Genomic DNA, 16,547 nt, shown 5'->3' with positions numbered 1-16,547 from the left:
TGTACTGATATAGCTTCTCCAGGTTTTGAAATCCATTCCATTATAGTGAGTAAGTTAAGATTATAAGTGCCTAGCCGGGCACGGTGGCTTATGCCTGTAATCCCAGCACTATGAGAGACCAAGGTGGGTGGGTGGATCACCGGAGGTCAGGAGTTTGAGACCAGCCCGGCCTACATGGTGAAACCCCGTCTTTACTGAAAATACAAAAATTAGCCAGGCATGGTGGCGTGGGCCACTTGGGAGGCTGAGGCAGGAGGGTCACTTGAACCTGGGAGGTGGATGTTGCAGTGAGCCGAGATCATGCCACTGCACTCCAGCCTGGGCAACAGAGTGAGACTCTGTCTCAAAAAAAAAAAAATGGTTATATATGTCAGTTCAGGCTTCATGACAGAAGAATCTTCACAGCATTTCATGTAAATGCACGTGGATATTCAGCCACCCTGAAGGGGAAAATCTCCCAAAACTAGGACTAGAATCAGAACTAAGCTCTCCCATCTTCACGATGCCTTCCTTCATCCTCTTCTCCTTCCTTCTTTTTTTTTTTTTTTTTTTTTTGAGATGGAGTCTCGCTTTGTCAACCAGCTGGAGTGCAGTGGCTCGATCTCAGCTCACTGCAACCTCCACCTCCTGGGTTCAAGCAATTCTCCTGCCTCAGCCTCCCATGTGGCTGGCTACAGGCGTCCGCCACCACTCCCAGCTAATTTTTGTAGTTTTAGTAGAGACAGGGTTTCACCATGTTAGCCAGGTTGGTCTCAAACTCCTGACCTCAAGTGATCTGCCCGCCTCAGCCTCCCAAAGTACTGGTATTGGAGGCGTGAGTCACCGTGCCCGGTCCCCTCCTTCCTTCTTTCCTTTTCTATTGATTTTACAATTGATATTATTTTTATATAAACATACATAAATACACAAATGTATGTTTTCTATATGTATATTATTTTAATTTATAGTATTTCTATTTTTGTATCAAGAGGTCAAATTTGTTCATAGTGAGTGAGCTACAAGTTCTTTTGCTGATTGTAACATTGCTGTATTAATCAACTTATATTAGCTAGTCGTATTTCTTTGTTGGCAAACTTAACCTAACATACAATTTTATCATTTCCATTACATTCCAAGGCATTTCACTGAAAGCAGAAGCTGTCTCAGTCAAGAAAGAATCAGAAGATCCTAATTACTATCAATATAATATGCAAGGTAATACTGTTTGATAATAATTTTCTTCCCCAAAAGTTATTTGGGATGGAAGATTTTAATTACTACCTGTCTGAAAAACTGGCGAGCACCCATGTGTGTTTACCTAGGATCAAGCATGCTGCCATTTAGAGTAAATAATCCTACAGTTATAAAATAGATTCTATTTAGCCTAAATCCATGTACTCTTTTGTTTGTTTTTTTACAGAGATGAGGTCTCACCTTGTTGCCCAAGCTGGTCTCTAACTCCTGGGCTTAAGTAGTCCTCCAGCCTTGGCCTCCAGAAGTGCTGAGATTATAGGCGTGAGCCACCATGCCTGGGCTAAATCCACATACTCTTTTTTTTTTTTGAGACAGAATCTCACTCTGTTGCCCAAGCTGGAGTTCAGTGGCACTATTTCCACTTACTGCAAACTCTGCCTCCTGGGTTCAAATGATTCTTGTGCCTCAGCCTCCCAAGGAGCTGGGATTACAGGCGTGTGCCACCACGCCTGGCTAATTTTTTGTATTATTAGTAGAGACGGGGTTTCGCCATGTTGGCCAGGCTGGTCTCGAACTCCTGACCTCAGGTGATCCACTCACCTTGGCCTCCCAAAATGCTGGGATTACAGGCATGAGCCGCCACACCTGACCCATAAGGCTTTTAAAAAGAAGTCATAAATTGTCACGACTGTCATGATTTTGCACCACCTAATGAAGCAGTGCATCTTGGCAATAATTGTCAGTGGTCATTAAAACCATTTTATAAAAGTCTGATGGGGACTTTATCATGGGCAGACCTGACTGACAGTTCCTGAACTGACTGGTCACTGGTCTGACGGTATCCAGTAGGAAGTACACCACACCACCTTTGTCAAGGATTCTTCCAAAAAAAAAAAAAATCAAACCTGGCCAGGTGTAGTGCCTCATACCTGTAATCCCAGCACTTTGGGAGGCCAAGGCAGGTGTATGACTTGAGCCCAGGAGTTCAAAACCAGCCTGGGCAACATGGTGAGACACCGTCTCTACAAAAAATACAAAAAGTAGCCGGGCATGGTGGCACACACCTGTAGCCCCAGCTACTTGGGAGGCTGAGGTGGGAAGATCGCTTGAGTCTGGGAGGTCAAGGCTGCAGCGAGCTGTGATCATACCACTGCACTCCAGCCTGGGTGCTGGAGTGAGACTCTCTCTCAAAACAACAACAAAACAAAACAAAACAATCAGACCTAAGTCTGATCCAGCATTTAGATCTAACCAGCAGTTTTTAGGAGATGCATGGAATACAGGCACATATGAAAACATCACCACAAGGATGTAGTCAATAAAATCCAGAATGTGAGAAACTCAGAGAAATTAATTGGTTTATGTTTTTTTTGTTTGTTTTTTTTTAGACAGAGTCTCGCTCTGTCGCCCAGGCTGGAATGCAGTGGCGTGATCATGGCTCACTGCAACCTTCACCTCCCAGGTTCAAGTGATTCTCCTGGCTCGGCCTCAAGAATAGCTGAGATTACAGGCGTGTGCCACCACACCCGGTTGATTTTTGTATTTTTTTGTAGAGAAGGGGTCTCACCATGTTGGCCAGGCTGGTCTCGAACTCCTGACCTCAGGTGATCTGCCCGCCTCCACCTCCCAGAGTGCTGAGATTACAGGCGTGAGCTACCACGCGCAGCCAGTTTTATTTCAAGGGGTAGAAGTATTTCAGGTGTATTCCTGTGTGGGTATTGACTTGTTTGCATTGTATTCAGTGATTTCTTTTTACATTTTTGTATTTCTCCTTTGTTATATATTATTTATTTTTCTTTCAGGAAGCCACCCTTCTTCCACAAGCAATGAAGTAATAGAAATGGAATTACCAATGGAAGGTTAGAAAAATGCAGCATTTTTTCTCTCTCTTTTAAGAAAAGTTTATAGAAGTTTATAGTATTTTACAAAGAACATACTTTTTTTTTCTTTTTTGAGACAGAGTCTCGCTCTGTCACCCAGGCTGGAGTGCAGTGGCGCAATCTCGGCTCACTACAACCTCTGCCTCCTGGGTTCAAGCGATTCATGTGCCTCAGCCTCCTGAGTAGCTGCGATTACAGGCGCGTGCCACCACGCCCGGCTAATTTTTGTATTTTTAGTAGAGACGGGATTTCACCATGTTGTCCAGGCTGGTCTCGAACTCCTGACCTCAAGTGATCCGTCCGCCTCTGCCTCCCATAGTGCGGGGATTACAGGCGTAAGCCACCATGCCCACCTGAAAGTTTATAGTATTTTACAGAGAACATACTCTTTTATACATGTAAGTTGGAAAATAAGGAAGGTGACTTTCTGGCATGCCTGTCTTCTCAGAAAACTATGAATAGTTGAGCTCTTGCCCTAAGATATAACATGAAGGGCTCTATCACTTCTTGTGCTTCTGATCTGTGAGTGATTCTACTTAAAGCACCCGAATATGGAAGTTAACTTTGCAGTGGTGCTGTTTCTTGCTTTGTCTTTTGGATGGCATGACATAATTCTTTTGGACAGAGTCGAATAGTATTTTAGGAAATCCTTGCATTAGAAGTAAAATTTGATAATACTTCCCTCCATTCATATATAAATCTTGAGCATCATATGAATAAAGCCTAAATTCCTACGGTGGTTTGTGTATGTCCAAGATAAAATTAATAATTTTAAAAAAGGGCCAGGCATGGTGGCTTATGCCTGTAATCTCAGCACTTTGGGAGGCTGAGGTGGGCAGATCACCTGAGGTCAGGAGTTCAAGACCAGCCCGGCCAACATGGTGATACCCTGTCTCTACTAAAAATACAAAAATTAGCCAGGCGTGGTGGCAGGCACCTGTAATCCCAGCTACTCGGGAGGCTGAGGCACGAGGATTGCTTGAAACTAGGAGGCGGAGGCTGCAGTGAGCCGAAATCGCACCATTCCACTCCAGCCTGGGTGACAGAGTGAGACTGTCTCAATAATGATAATAATAATAATAATAATAAAGATTTCCTTTCCAAACCTAGTGGCGTGGGACATCTTTGCCATTTACAGGCAATGTGATCTTACTTTTAGTTGTAATATCTGCCTTAGAGAGATAGTGACACATGGACTACCAAAATGATTCTGTTTTTTTTTTTTTTTTGAGACAGAATCTCACCCTGTCACCCAGGCTGGAGTGCAGTGTGTCGCGACCTTGGCTCACTGCAGCCTCCACCTCCCGGGCTGAAGCAATTCTCCTTCCTCAGCCTCCTGAGTAGCTGGGATTAGAGGTGTGCGCCACCACGCCTGGATAATTTTTGTATTTTTAATAGAGTTGGGGTTTCACCATGTTGCCCAGGCTGGTCTTCAACTCCTGACCTCAAGTGATGCGCCCACCTCGGCCTCCCAAAAGTGCTGGGATTACAGGTGCGAGCCACCGTGCCCGGCCCAGTTACTGTTTATTATCCTATTATTATTGCTTATAAAATTAAAATTATGTTTATATTATTTATATATGAAATATATTTAAAATGCCAGGATAAGCTACTTTTTTGGTATAGGAGCATTAATGTGTTGGAATATGAGGAGAATACTTAATAATGAATGTCATTTTAGACATTTTTTTTTCAAGATTCCACTCCGCTGGTCCCTTCAGAAGAACCAAATGAGGACCCTGAAGCCGAGGTGAAAATCGAAGGTTAGTTGCCCAAAGCCCCATTGCCAAGTATGGTTTTCATTCTTTCTAACAGGATTAATTGCAGGGAGGATGGCAGAGCTCAGTGGCTCAAGCCTGTAATCCCAGCACCTTGGGAGGCCAAGGCAGGTGTATTGCTTGAGCCCAGGAGTTTGAGACCAGCCTGGGAAACATGGCGAAACCCTGTCTCTACTAAAAATACAAAATTAGCCAGGCGTGGTGGTGCATGTCTGTATTTCCAGCTACTTGGGAGGCTGAGACAGGAGGATCGCTTGAACCTGAGAGGCGGAGGTTGCAGTGAGCTGAGATCTCACCACTGTACTCCAGCCTGGGTGACAGAGCGAGATTCCATCTAAAAAAAAAAAAAATTGTGGGGAAGAGATTGAAATCTCTGATGTAGTATAATGTGTATATATAATAGAGCAGCCATTCCCATTAGGGCCCAGTGCTTTGAGGTGTTGTAGACAACATAATTAGCTGTGCAAAAAAAAATTAGAAAGAAAAGAAAAATAATAACTAGGCATGATGGTGCATGCTTGTATTCCCAGCACTTTGTGAGGCCAAGGCAAGAAGATCATTTGAACCCTGGAGTTCTAGATCAGACTGGGCAACATAGTGAGACTATCTCTGCAAAAAGTAAACATTAAGAAAAAGTTAGGCAAGGCACAGTGGTTCACGCCTGTAATCCCAGCATTTTGGGAGGCTGAGGTGGGCAGATCACTTGATCCCAGGTGTTTGAGACCAAATTGGGCATAGTGAAACCCTGTCTCTACTAAAAATACAAAAAGTTAGCAGGGCATGGTGGCACACACCTGTAGTCCCAGCTATTTGGGAGACTGAGGTGGGCCAATCACCTGAGCCCAGGGAAGTCGAGGCTGCAGTGAGCCATAATTGTGCCACAATACTCCAGCCTGGGTGATGGGAGTGAGATCCTGCCTCGAAACAAACTAACAAAAATATCAGCCATGGATGGTGGCATGCATCTGTAGTCTCAGCTACTTGGGAGGCTGAGGTGGGAGGATCGCTTGAGCCCAGGATTTTGAGGCTGCAGTGAGCTGTGATTATGCCCCTGCATTCCAGCATGGTCAACAGAGCAAGACTCCATCTCTAAAAATAAAAATTAAAAAAAAATTTTTTTTTAAGTCTTGCACGTTAGCACTGACCCACAACTGGGCCTCAACTGTGCTGTGTTCACGTGAGGAAAGAATGAAGGGTTGAGGGTACATAAGGGGGGAGAATGGAAAGAAAAGGACGATTCACTCAGACATAGCCCCTTTGCTACTGGAGTGGACAGATAAATATCAAAGGTAACTCCGCAGGCCTGCAGCCGGTGAACTCAGTTGAAGTGCAAGTATCTAAAGGAAGTGAAGTTGAAAGTGTGATTTAAGGCTGGCGTGGTGGGTGGCTCACACCTGTAATCCCAGCACTTTGGGAGACCCAGGTGGGTGAATCCCTTGAGGCCAGGAGTTCAAGACCAGCCTGGCCAACATGGCGAAACTCTGTCTCTACTAAAAATACAAAAATTAGAGCCGGGCGTGGTGGCTCAAGCCTGTAATCCCAGCACTTTGGGAGGCCCAGGTAGGTGAATCACTTGAGGTCAGGAGTTCTCAACCAGCATGACCAACATGGTGAAACTCCGTCTCTACTAAAAAAAAAATACAATTATTAACTGGGCATGGTGGTGGGTGTCTGTAATCCCAGCTACTCAGGAGGCTGAGGCACGAGAATCACTTGAACCTGGGAGGCAAAGGTTGCAGTGAGCCGAGATCACACCACTGCACTCCAGCCTGGGTGATAGACTCAGTCTCAAAAAAAAAAAAAAAAAATTAGCCAAGCATGATGGTGCATGTCTGTGGTCCCAGCTACTCAAAAGGCTGAGGTGGGAGGATCACTTGACCATGGGAGGTCGAGGATGCAGTGAGCTAGGATCACACCACTGCACTCCAGCCTGAATGACAGAGTAAGAACCTGTCTCAAAAAAAAAAAAAGAAAAAAAAAATTCAGTCTGGGCTTCTGATCAAAGCAGCACTTAGACATATTTAAAGGAGAATTGGTCTTATTCTTGGTAAATTCTAAACTTCAACTTCTGTTTTAAGGAAACACAAATTCATCCAGTGTTACAAATTCTGCAGCAGGTGTTGAAGATCTTAACATCGTTCAAGTGACTGTTCCAGGTATGGACTAATGTTACATTTTTCCTTTTGTCTTAATTATTTTTTGACATAGGGTGGTCTCTTGGACCTGTCATTTTTCACTTAGTTCACCCTGATAGCTAAGAAATGACATTTTGGGAATATAAAATATTCTGCAAGTTGCTACACAACGAGCATCTTGCTCACATCAGACATTATTAATCGGATATTTTGCTTCTCCTGGACAAGCCCGGGCATTACCTGGAAAATGCATCTCAGAGCAGGCAGCATGGAGCACCAGCTATGGTTGAATTGGAATTGGCCACAGAGGTGAAATGTTTTGTTGCTCATCATTAACAATCTTCTGGCCGGGCACGGTGGCTTACGCCTGTAATCCCAGCACTTTGGGAGGCTAAGACGGGCAGATCACGAGGTCAGGAGATCGAGACCATCCTGGATAACACGGTGAAACCCTGTCTCTACTAAAAATACAAAAAAAATTAGCCGGGTGTGGTGGCGAGCACCTGTAGTCCCAGCTACTCGGGAGGCTGAGGCTGAAGAATGGCGTGAACCTGGGAGGCGGAGCTTGCAGTGAACGGAGATCACTCCACTGCACTCCAGCCTGGGCGACAGAGCGAGACTCTGTCTCAAAAAAATAAATAATAATAATAATAATAATCTTCTTTTCTGAATATTTGTATGTAAAATATATCTGGAAAGATACAAGAGAATCTAATTACATAGTTCCTCCAGGGAAGGAAACTGACCGCTGAGATAGGGATAGGAGAGAGACGTTTGAGATGTTTCTGTATATTACTCCTCTTGAATGTTGAGCCATGTGATTGCTTTAGTTATTCAAAAGTAAATAAAGTTTTAAAGTGTTGAAAAATATCTAAAAAATAAAAACAAAAAAAAAGGACCAGGCATGGTGGCATGTGCCTGTAATCTCAGCACTTTGGGAAGCTGAGGCAGGAGGATCACTTGAGCCCAGGAGTTTGAGACCAGCCTGCACAGCACAGTGAGACTCTGTCTCTAAAAAACAAAAAGAAAAGAAAAACAGACCGGGTGCGGTGGCTCACACCTGTAATCCCAGCACTTTGGGAGGCTGAGGCAGGTGGATCACCTGAGGTCAGGAGTTCGAGACCAGCCTGGCCAACATGGTGAAACCCCATCTTTACTAAAAATACAAAAATCAGCTGGGTGTGGTGGTGGGTGCCTGTAATCCCAGCTACTTGGGAGGCTGAGGCAGGAGAATTGCTTGAACCCAGGAGGGGTGCAGTGAATTGCTTGAACCCAGGAGTTTGCAGTGAGCCAAGATTGTACCATTGTACTCCAGCCTGGGTGACAAGAGCAAAACTCAGCCTCAAAACAAAACAAAACAAAACAAACAAAAAAAAAAAGAGAGGAAAAAAAGGAAAGAAAATAAAAATATACCTTACCTTCTAATCCTAGTACCTCTTATTCCTTTTACTTGTCATATTTCATTGGCTGAGATTTCTATTTTAAGGCCGAAAAGTGGTGGTGAAAGTAAACATCCTTGTCTTTTTTTTTTTTTTTTTTTGAGACGGAGTCTTGCTCTGTCACCCAGGCTGGAGTGCAGTGGTGCGATCTCGGCTCACTGCAAGCTCCGTCTCCTGGGTTCACACCATTCTCCTGCCTCAGCCTCCCGAGTAGCTGGGACTACAGGCGCCTGCCACCATGCCCAGCTAAATTTTTGTATTTTTAGTGGAAACGGGGTTTCACCATGTTAGCCAGGATGGTCTCCATCTCCTGACCTCGTGATCCACCTGCCTCGGCCTCCCAAAGTGCTGGGATTACAGGCGTGAGCCACCGCGCCTGGCCCTAAACATCCTTGTCTTGTATGATATTGAAAATATTCCTTAAAAGTAGTATGTAGTATGTTTATATAGGGTTATAATTTGGAAAATTCTCTATTGTCTGTAATGGCTTCCATTTCCAAATTTCCAAGATGCTTAATTATTGCTAAAAGTAGACTGAATAACAATCCAGGTAAAGCACTTTCTCGGGTGCTAACAGGCATTTCTCCCAACAGCTTTCTTGGGAGAAAATACATTAATAACCTTGGTTTGTTTATTTGTTTAATTATTTTTAGATAATGAGAAGGAAAGATTATCAAGCATTGAAAAGATTAAACAGCTAAGAGAACAAGTTAATGACCTCTTTAGCCGAAAATTTGGTAAGTTTTTATATCTTTTTATATCCAGAATTCATATACCTAAAATACTTCTTTTTAAAAGAATACTTGGCCAGGTGCATTGGCTCATACCTGTAATCCTAGCACTTTAGGAGGCTAAGGCTAGAGAATCACTTGAGCCCAGGCGTTTGAGACCAGCCTGGGCAGCAAAGTGACACCCCAGGTCTACAAAAGGAAAAAAAACAAAACTTTATCTTATAAGAATTTGATCTTGGCTGGGCGCAGTGGTTCACACTTTTAATCCCAGCACTTTGGGAGGCCAAGGTGGGTGGATCACTTGAGGCCAGGAGTTCAAGTCCAGCCTGGCCAACATGGCAAAATCCCATCTCTACTAAAAATACAAAAAATTAGCCGGGTGTGGTGGCGCACACCTGTAATCCCAGCTACTCAGGAGGCTGAGGCACGAGAATTGGTTGTAACTGGGAGGCAGAGGTTGCAGTGAGCTTAGATCGCGCTATTGCACTCCAGCCTGGGCGACAGAGCAAGACCCTGTCTCAAAAAAAAAAAAAAAAAAAAGAAATTGATCTTTTTGTGAAAGAGCTATGATAAAAATTAGTCAATATGTCTTTTTACAGAAGAGCTTTTGCATGGTATCATTGACTAATTACAATAATAATAATAATAGCTATCTTTGTTTTACTGAGTGCTTACCTTGTGTATTATTTTTTGTGCTCAACATGTGTTTGATCATTTAATCCTTACATAAAACCTTTCAGGTAGGCGCCATGATAACCCTGTGTAATGGATGGAGAAACTGAGTTTGCCTACTACCCATGCTAATTCCAAACTTTTAAAATTATATTCACACATCATAGTAGCACTGGAAAATAAAATGACTGATCATAAGTATTGTCATTTGATGCTTCTAAATCCTGACATTAAAGATAAATCCTGGTTTAGGAAATGTAAGGAACAAACTCAGCTAGTTTTATTTGTGTTGTTGTTTTTTTAATTTGTTGTTTTGTTTTGTGTTGTTTTGTTTTGAGGCAGGGTCTCGCTCTGTCTCTCAGGCTGGAGTGCAGTGGGGCGATCTCGGCTCACTGCAACTTCTGCCTCCTGGGTCCCTCCCATGTGGCTGGGATTACAGGCATGCGCCACCACGCCCAGCTAATTTTTGTATTTTTAGTAGAGACAGGGTTTCACCATGTTAGCCAGGCTGGTCTCGAACTCCTGGCCTCAAGTGATTCACCCGCCTCAGTCTCCCAGAGGGCTGGGATTACAGGTGTGAGCCACCGTGCCCAGCCAAACTCAGCTGGTTTTATGCTGCTCATCCCGTCACAGGTGAAGCAATTGGCGTGGATTTCCCTGTGAAAGTTCCCTACAGGAAGATCACATTCAACCCTGGCTGTGTGGTGATTGATGGCATGCCCCCGGGGGTGGTATTCAAGGACCCCGGCTATCTGGAAATCAGTTCCATGAGGAGGATCTTGGAGGCAGCTGAGTTTATCAAATTCACAGTCATCAGGTAAGTGAGTCAAGAGAAGGAATCTGGAGACTCTGACTTGCCCGAGGTGGGCATGTGGCTGCCCAGGAATGTCTGTCCCATGACTTGGGCTGGGGGTTTGTTCCCGCAGCTGACCGCTGGGCCATGCTGCCTCTCACACTGACTTCATCATCTTCTGCTTCCTTGAGATGTGTCCATGTCCCTGTTCCTCGGTGATCATGGGCAGCCCGTCCCAGTTTTAGCTCACCCAGCACCTAGCGTAGAGTTAACACTCTGCAAAAATTTGTCCAATAAAACTAAGTGGGGCCAGGCACGGTGGCTCACGCCTGTAATCCCAGCACTTTGGGAGGCTGAGGCGGGCCAGATCGCCTGAGGTCAGGAGTATGAGGCAAGCCTGGCCAACATGGTGAAACCCCGTTGCTACTGAAAATACAAACATTAGTCGGGTGTGGTGGCGTGCGCCTCTAATACCAGCTACTCAGGAGGCTGAGGCGTGAGAATCACTTGACCTGGGAGGTGGAGGTTGCAGTGACCTGAGATGGCACCACTGCACTCCAGCCTGGGCAGCAGAATGAGCCTCCATCTCAAAACATAAATAAATAGGCTGGGCATGGTGGCTCAGGCCTGTAATCCCAGCATTTTAGGAGGCTGAGGCAGGTGGATCATTTGAGGTCAGGAGTTTGAGACCAGCCTGGCCAACATGGTGAAACTCCATCTCTACTAAAAATAAACATTAGCTGGGTGTAGTGGTACGTGCCTGTAATCCCAGCTACTCAGGAGAATCACTTGAACCTGGAATGCGGAGGTTGCAGTGAGCCCAGATGACACCACTGCACTCCAGCCTGGGTGATGGAGTGAGACTCCGTCTCAAAAAAAACAAAAACAAAAGGCTCAACGCAGTGGCTCATGCCTGTAATCCCAGCACTTTGGGAGGCCAAGGTAGGTAGATCTCCTGATGTCAGGAGTTCAAGAGTAGCCTGGCCAACATGGTGAAACTAAAAATACAAAAAATTAGCTGGGCGTGGTGGCGGGCACCTGTAATCCCAGCTACTCAGGCGGCTGAGGCAGGAGAATGGCTTGAACCCAGGAGGCGGAGGTTGCGCTAAGCCGAGATCGCGCCACTGCACTCCAGCCTGGGTGACGCAGCGAGACTCTTGTCTCAAAAAAAACAAAAACAAAACAAACAAATAAATAAATATTCTTCTGTAAAAAAATAAATAAGTAAAAATTAAAAAAAAATAAAACTAAGTGGGCAAAAGAGGAAACGTGAGCTTGTCGCATTTATCAATGTGTCTTTCTCTTCAGGCCGCTTCCAGGGCTTGAGCTCAGTAATGGTGAGTATTCTACAGGTGAGAAGAACGTTCCGGCAATGTTGGGCCATGGGAAGTGTCTTGGTGGGCGCTCACCACGGGGTTTTTGCTTCCGTGAGCCTGGGACCCAAGTATGCAGCCTTCGATGCATGCTTTATTTTTCCTGCATGTGATAAAGTTAGATAACTCTGTTACTTGAGTTTGATTAACCAGTCTGAAGGAGAGTGATCTATATCACACCATGAGTGTGACGTGTGATGTGGCGCACTCTTTTTTTTTTTTTTTGGAGACAGAGTCTCGCTCTGTCACCCAGGCTAGAGTGCAGCACAATCTCGGCTCACCACACAACCTCCGCCTCCCAGGTTCAAGTGATTCTCCTGCCTCAGCCTCCCGAGTAGCTGGGACTATAGGCGTGTGCCACCACGCCTGGCTAATTTTTGTATTTTTAGTAGAGATGGGGTTTTGCCATGTTGGCCAGGCTGGTCTCGAACTTCTGACCTCAAGGGATCCGCCCGCCTCCACCTTTCAAAGTGCTGGGATTACGGGCATGAGCCACCACGCATGGCTGATGTGGCACACTATTCAAGTGTGCTTTGTGGTGGGGGCTCCCCTGAGGCCACCCGCACAGCTGCACTCAGGATCACAGTACCGATCTCCTCTGTGTTGGTAAATAGTGCCTGCCTGGCCATGCAGTCCCACCCTAGTACCCTCCGACCGTGGCTTGACCTCCCTACAGTGCTGAAGCAAAAGGAGTTCCACCTGGCACAGCAGAGGCCCCTAGAACCCTTCCAGTGCTGAGACTAGCATCTGTTCTTTTTTTTTTTTGAGACAGAGTCTCGCTCTCTCACCCAGGCTGGAGTGCAGTGGCAAGATCTCGGCTCACTGCAACCTCCGCCTCCCGGGTTCAAGCGATTCTCTGCCTCAGCCTTCCGATTAGCTGGGATTACAGGTGCGTGCCGCCACATCCAGCTACTTTTTGTATTTTTTAGTAGAGACAGGGTTTAGCCATGTTGGCCAGGCTGGTCTCAAACTCGTGACCTCAAGTGATCCACCCTCCTTGGTCTCCCAAACTGCTGGGATTACAGATGTAAGCCACTGCACCTGGCTCAGCATCTGTTCTGATTGAGCAATGCCCAGGCACTCTGCTTCTGAAATATTCTCTTTTTTTTCCCCTTCAACTTTTATTTTAAGTTCTAGGGTCCATGTTCAGGATGTGCAGGTTTGTTACATAGGTAAATGTGTGCCATGGTGATTTGCTGCACCTATCAACCCATCACCTAGGTGTTAAGCCCAGCATGCATTAGCTATTCTTCCTGATGCTCTCCCTCCCCCTACCCGCCCCCACCCTGTTAAATATTCTTAATGTCTTCCCCGGAGCCCTTGCAAGTGAGTCAGTATCCTGTCAAGTAGAATACGGAGAGGTGTTCTCACGAGCATGAGTCACCAGGGAACCTCCTAATGTAACATTTGAAAACCAAAGTAGGCTGGGCGCGGTGACTCACACCTGTAATCCCAGCACTTTGGGAGGCCGAGGCGGGCGGATCATGAGGTCAGGAGATGGAGACCCTTCTGTACAACGTGGTGAAACTCCGTCTCTACTAGAAATACAAAAATTAGCCGGGCATGGTGGCGCGTGCCTATAATCCCAGCTACTCGGGAGGCTGAGGCAGGAAAATCACTTGAACCAGGGAGTCGGGGGTTGCAGTGAGCCGAGATCGTGCCACTGCACTCCAGTTTGGTGACAGAGCAAGACTCTGTCTCAAAAAAAAAAAAAAAAAGAAAAGAAAAGAAAACCAAAGTATCCTATTAAAATGCTCCATTTTTATTCCCAAACGCATCTGATTGCTAAATGATTTTTTGATCTTTTATAATATCTTTATTTATTTATTGTATTATTATTGGGGTTTTTTAGAGACAAGGTCTCACTCTGTCACCCAGGCTGGAGTGCAGTGGCATGATCATAGCTCACTGCAGCCTGGAACTCCTGCCCTCAGGTGATTCTCCCACCTTCACCTCCCGAGTAGCTGGGACAGCACTGCCATGCCCAGATAATTTTTTTTTTTTTTTTGTAGAGACAGGGTCTCACTATGTTTCCCAGGCTGGCCTTGAGCTTCTGGCTTCAAGCGATCCTCCTGCCTCAGCCTCCCAAAGTGCTGGGACTATAGGCATGAGCCGCTGTACATGGCCTACATTTTCTTAAGGTGCACTTTTATGTGTGTGTACTCTGGAAATACCTTGATTACCTGCAGCGTGGCCAGGTTCTTTAAATCTAAAACACTAGCCCCTGTACACTCGAACACACTTATATGAATGAGTTTTGTGTGGATCTGTGGCCGTCACCCTTGTCATTTGAGACTCACAGTAGGTAAAAATCATATGCCTTTCTGTGCTCATTCCCATCTCTGTTATTACAAAGTTTTCTTGGGAATCAAATGAGAAAATATATTAAAATGCTCACACGTATAATCCCAGGACTTTTGGAGGCCAAGGCAAGAGGATTGCTTGAGGCCAGGAGTTTGAGACCAGCCTGGGCAACATAGCAAGACCCCATCTCTACAAAAAATTTAAAAATTAGCTGGACACAGTGGCTCACACCTGTAGCCCCAGCTACTTGGCAGGCTAAAGCAGGAGGATCACTTAAACCCAGGAGTTTGAGACAGCAGAGAACCATAATTGCAATACTACACTCCAGCCTGGGTGACAGAACAAGACCCTGTCTCTAAAAAGAAAATGCAAACATATTATCAAATAATTCCTGTTTAAACTGGACATAACAAGCACAGCTACATGCTGAACCTCATCAAAGGTGTCTTTTGTTTGGCTCATGTACTTTTGAAAATAAGGATGAGGCCTGGCACAGTGGCTCCTATAATCCCAGCACTTTGGGAGGCCAAGGCGGGTGGATCGCTTGAGCCTGGGGTTTCAGACCAGCCTAGGCAACAAGGTAAGACTCCAGCTCTACAAAAAAAGAAAAAAAAAAAAAGAAAAAGAAAAAAAGAAAAGAAAGAAAGAAAGAAAAGATAGCTCAGTGTGGTGCATGCCTGTAGTCCCAGCAACTGGGAGCTGAAGTGGGAGGATCACCTGAGCCCAGGGAGTTCCAGGCTGCAGTGAGCCATTATCACCACAAACCAGGCACTCTTTCATAAAAGTCAATCTTCAGGTTTTCTTTAGAAAACCTGAAGATCTGGCTGGGTGCAGTGGCTCATGCCTGTAATCCCAGCACTTTGGGAGGCTGAGGTGGGCGGATCACCTGAGGTCAGGAGTTCGAGACCAGCCTGGACAACATGGTGAAATCTCATCTCTACTAAAAATACAAAAATTAGCTGGGCGTGGTGGCAGGCACCTGTCATAACAGCTACTCAGGAGGCTGAGGCAGAAGAATCGCTTGAACCCAGGAGGCAGAAGTTGCAGTGAGCCGAGATTGCGCCACTGCACTGCAGCCTGGGTGACAGAGCAAAACTCCGTCTCAACAACAACGACAACAAAAATTCAGTCTTCAGGTTTTCTTTAGAAAACTTGAAGATCTGGCCACAGCTGGCGTCCTGGCAGCGGTTTGCTGGAGTTGATGGTCAGCCGTCCCTCTGCAGGGTGGGTCACCCTCCTGTTAACCACGCCCTGCCCCGCCCCGCTTCCTCCCTCTCGTGCGTCATCAAGCATTTGCTGTTGTTTTCCTCATAGTAGTGATAAGAGAAAAGTGAAATATCTTTGTCTCCCTGTCTCTGTCAAAAGTGGGAAAATGCAAGATAGACCAGGAGGGCCGTGTGTTTCAAGAAAAGTGGGAGAGAGCATTTTTCTTCGTGGAAGTACAGAATATTCCAACATGTCTCATATGCAAACAAAGCATGTCTGTGTCCAAAGAATATAACCTAAGACGCCACTATCAAACCAATCACAGCAAGCATTATGACCAGTATACGGAAAGAATGCGTGACGAGAAGCTTCACGAGCTGAAAAAAGGGCTCAGGAAGTATCTCTTAGGCTCGTCAGACACCGAGTGTCCCGAGCAAAAACAAGTGTTTGCAAACCCAAGTCCAACCCAGAAATCCCCCGTGCAGCCTGTAGAGGACCTAGCTGGGAACTTATGGGAGAAGTTACGTGAAAAAATCAGGTCTTTTGTGGCATATTCTATCGCAATCGATGAGATCACCGATATAAATAATACCACCCAGTTGGCCATATTCATCCGTGGTGTCGATGAGAATTTCGATGTGTCCGAAGAACTTCTGGATACGGTGCCCACGACGGGTACAAAATCTGGAAACGAGATCTTTTCGCGTGTTGAGAAGAGCCTGAAAAAGTTCTGTATCGACTGGTCGAAATTAGTAAGCGTGGCCTCCACTGGCACCCCAGCGATGGTGGATGCCAATAACGGGCTTGTTACAAAACTGAAGTCCAGGGTGGCGACGTTCTGCAAGGGTGCGGAACTGAAGTCCATCTGTTGTATAATTCATCCGAAATCACTCTGTGCTCAGAAGTTGAAGATGGACCACGTCATGGACGTGGTAGTGAAGTCCGTGAACTGGATATGCTCCCGGGGACTGAACCACAGCGAGTTCACAACCTTGCTCTATGAGCTGGACAGCCAGTATGGTAGCCTCCTGTACTACACGGAGATTAAGTGGCTCAGTCGCGG

The 16,547-nt window shown here is 45.7% G+C and overlaps 1 pseudogene, besides 4 other annotated features; it reads left to right on the top strand.

Moving 5' to 3' along the window:
• Positions 1 to 10,550: part of a non allelic homologous recombination region, noted in NCBI's record as "sub-region SSN9-SSN11, recombines with sub-region SSN9'-SSN11' within the WBS medial block B recombination region", that runs on past the window's edge. NCBI's record gives the evidence for it as "EXISTENCE:restriction fragment detection evidence [ECO:0001124][PMID:12796854]".
• The window catches only part of GTF2IRD2P1 (GTF2I repeat domain containing 2 pseudogene 1), a 37,369-nt pseudogene that overhangs the window by 19,605 nt on the left and 1,217 nt on the right, over positions 1 to 16,547 (top strand).
• Positions 1 to 16,547: part of a biological region, named in NCBI's record as "Williams-Beuren syndrome centromeric block B recombination region", that runs on past both edges of the window. NCBI's record gives its function as "recombination_partner: LOC106029312".
• Positions 10,551 to 16,547: part of a non allelic homologous recombination region, noted in NCBI's record as "sub-region SSN7-SSN9, recombines with sub-region SSN7'-SSN9' within the WBS medial block B recombination region", that runs on past the window's edge. NCBI's record gives the evidence for it as "EXISTENCE:restriction fragment detection evidence [ECO:0001124][PMID:12796854]".
• Positions 11,963 to 12,951: an enhancer, noted in NCBI's record as "H3K27ac-H3K4me1 hESC enhancer chr7:72661597-72662585 (GRCh37/hg19 assembly coordinates)". NCBI's record gives its function as "activates a minimal SCP1, AML or CMV promoter by ChIP-STARR-seq in primed H9 embryonic stem cells {active_cell/tissue: H9 hESC(primed)}" and the evidence as "EXISTENCE:reporter gene assay evidence [ECO:0000049][PMID:30033119]".

The sequence above is a fragment of the Homo sapiens genome, chromosome 7 (genome assembly GCF_000001405.40).
Source record: "Homo sapiens chromosome 7, GRCh38.p14 Primary Assembly".
Lineage (NCBI taxonomy): Eukaryota > Metazoa > Chordata > Mammalia > Primates > Hominidae > Homo > Homo sapiens.
The sequence above is the reverse complement of the archived record's forward strand: the minus strand, read 5'-3'. Positions and strand labels throughout refer to the sequence as shown.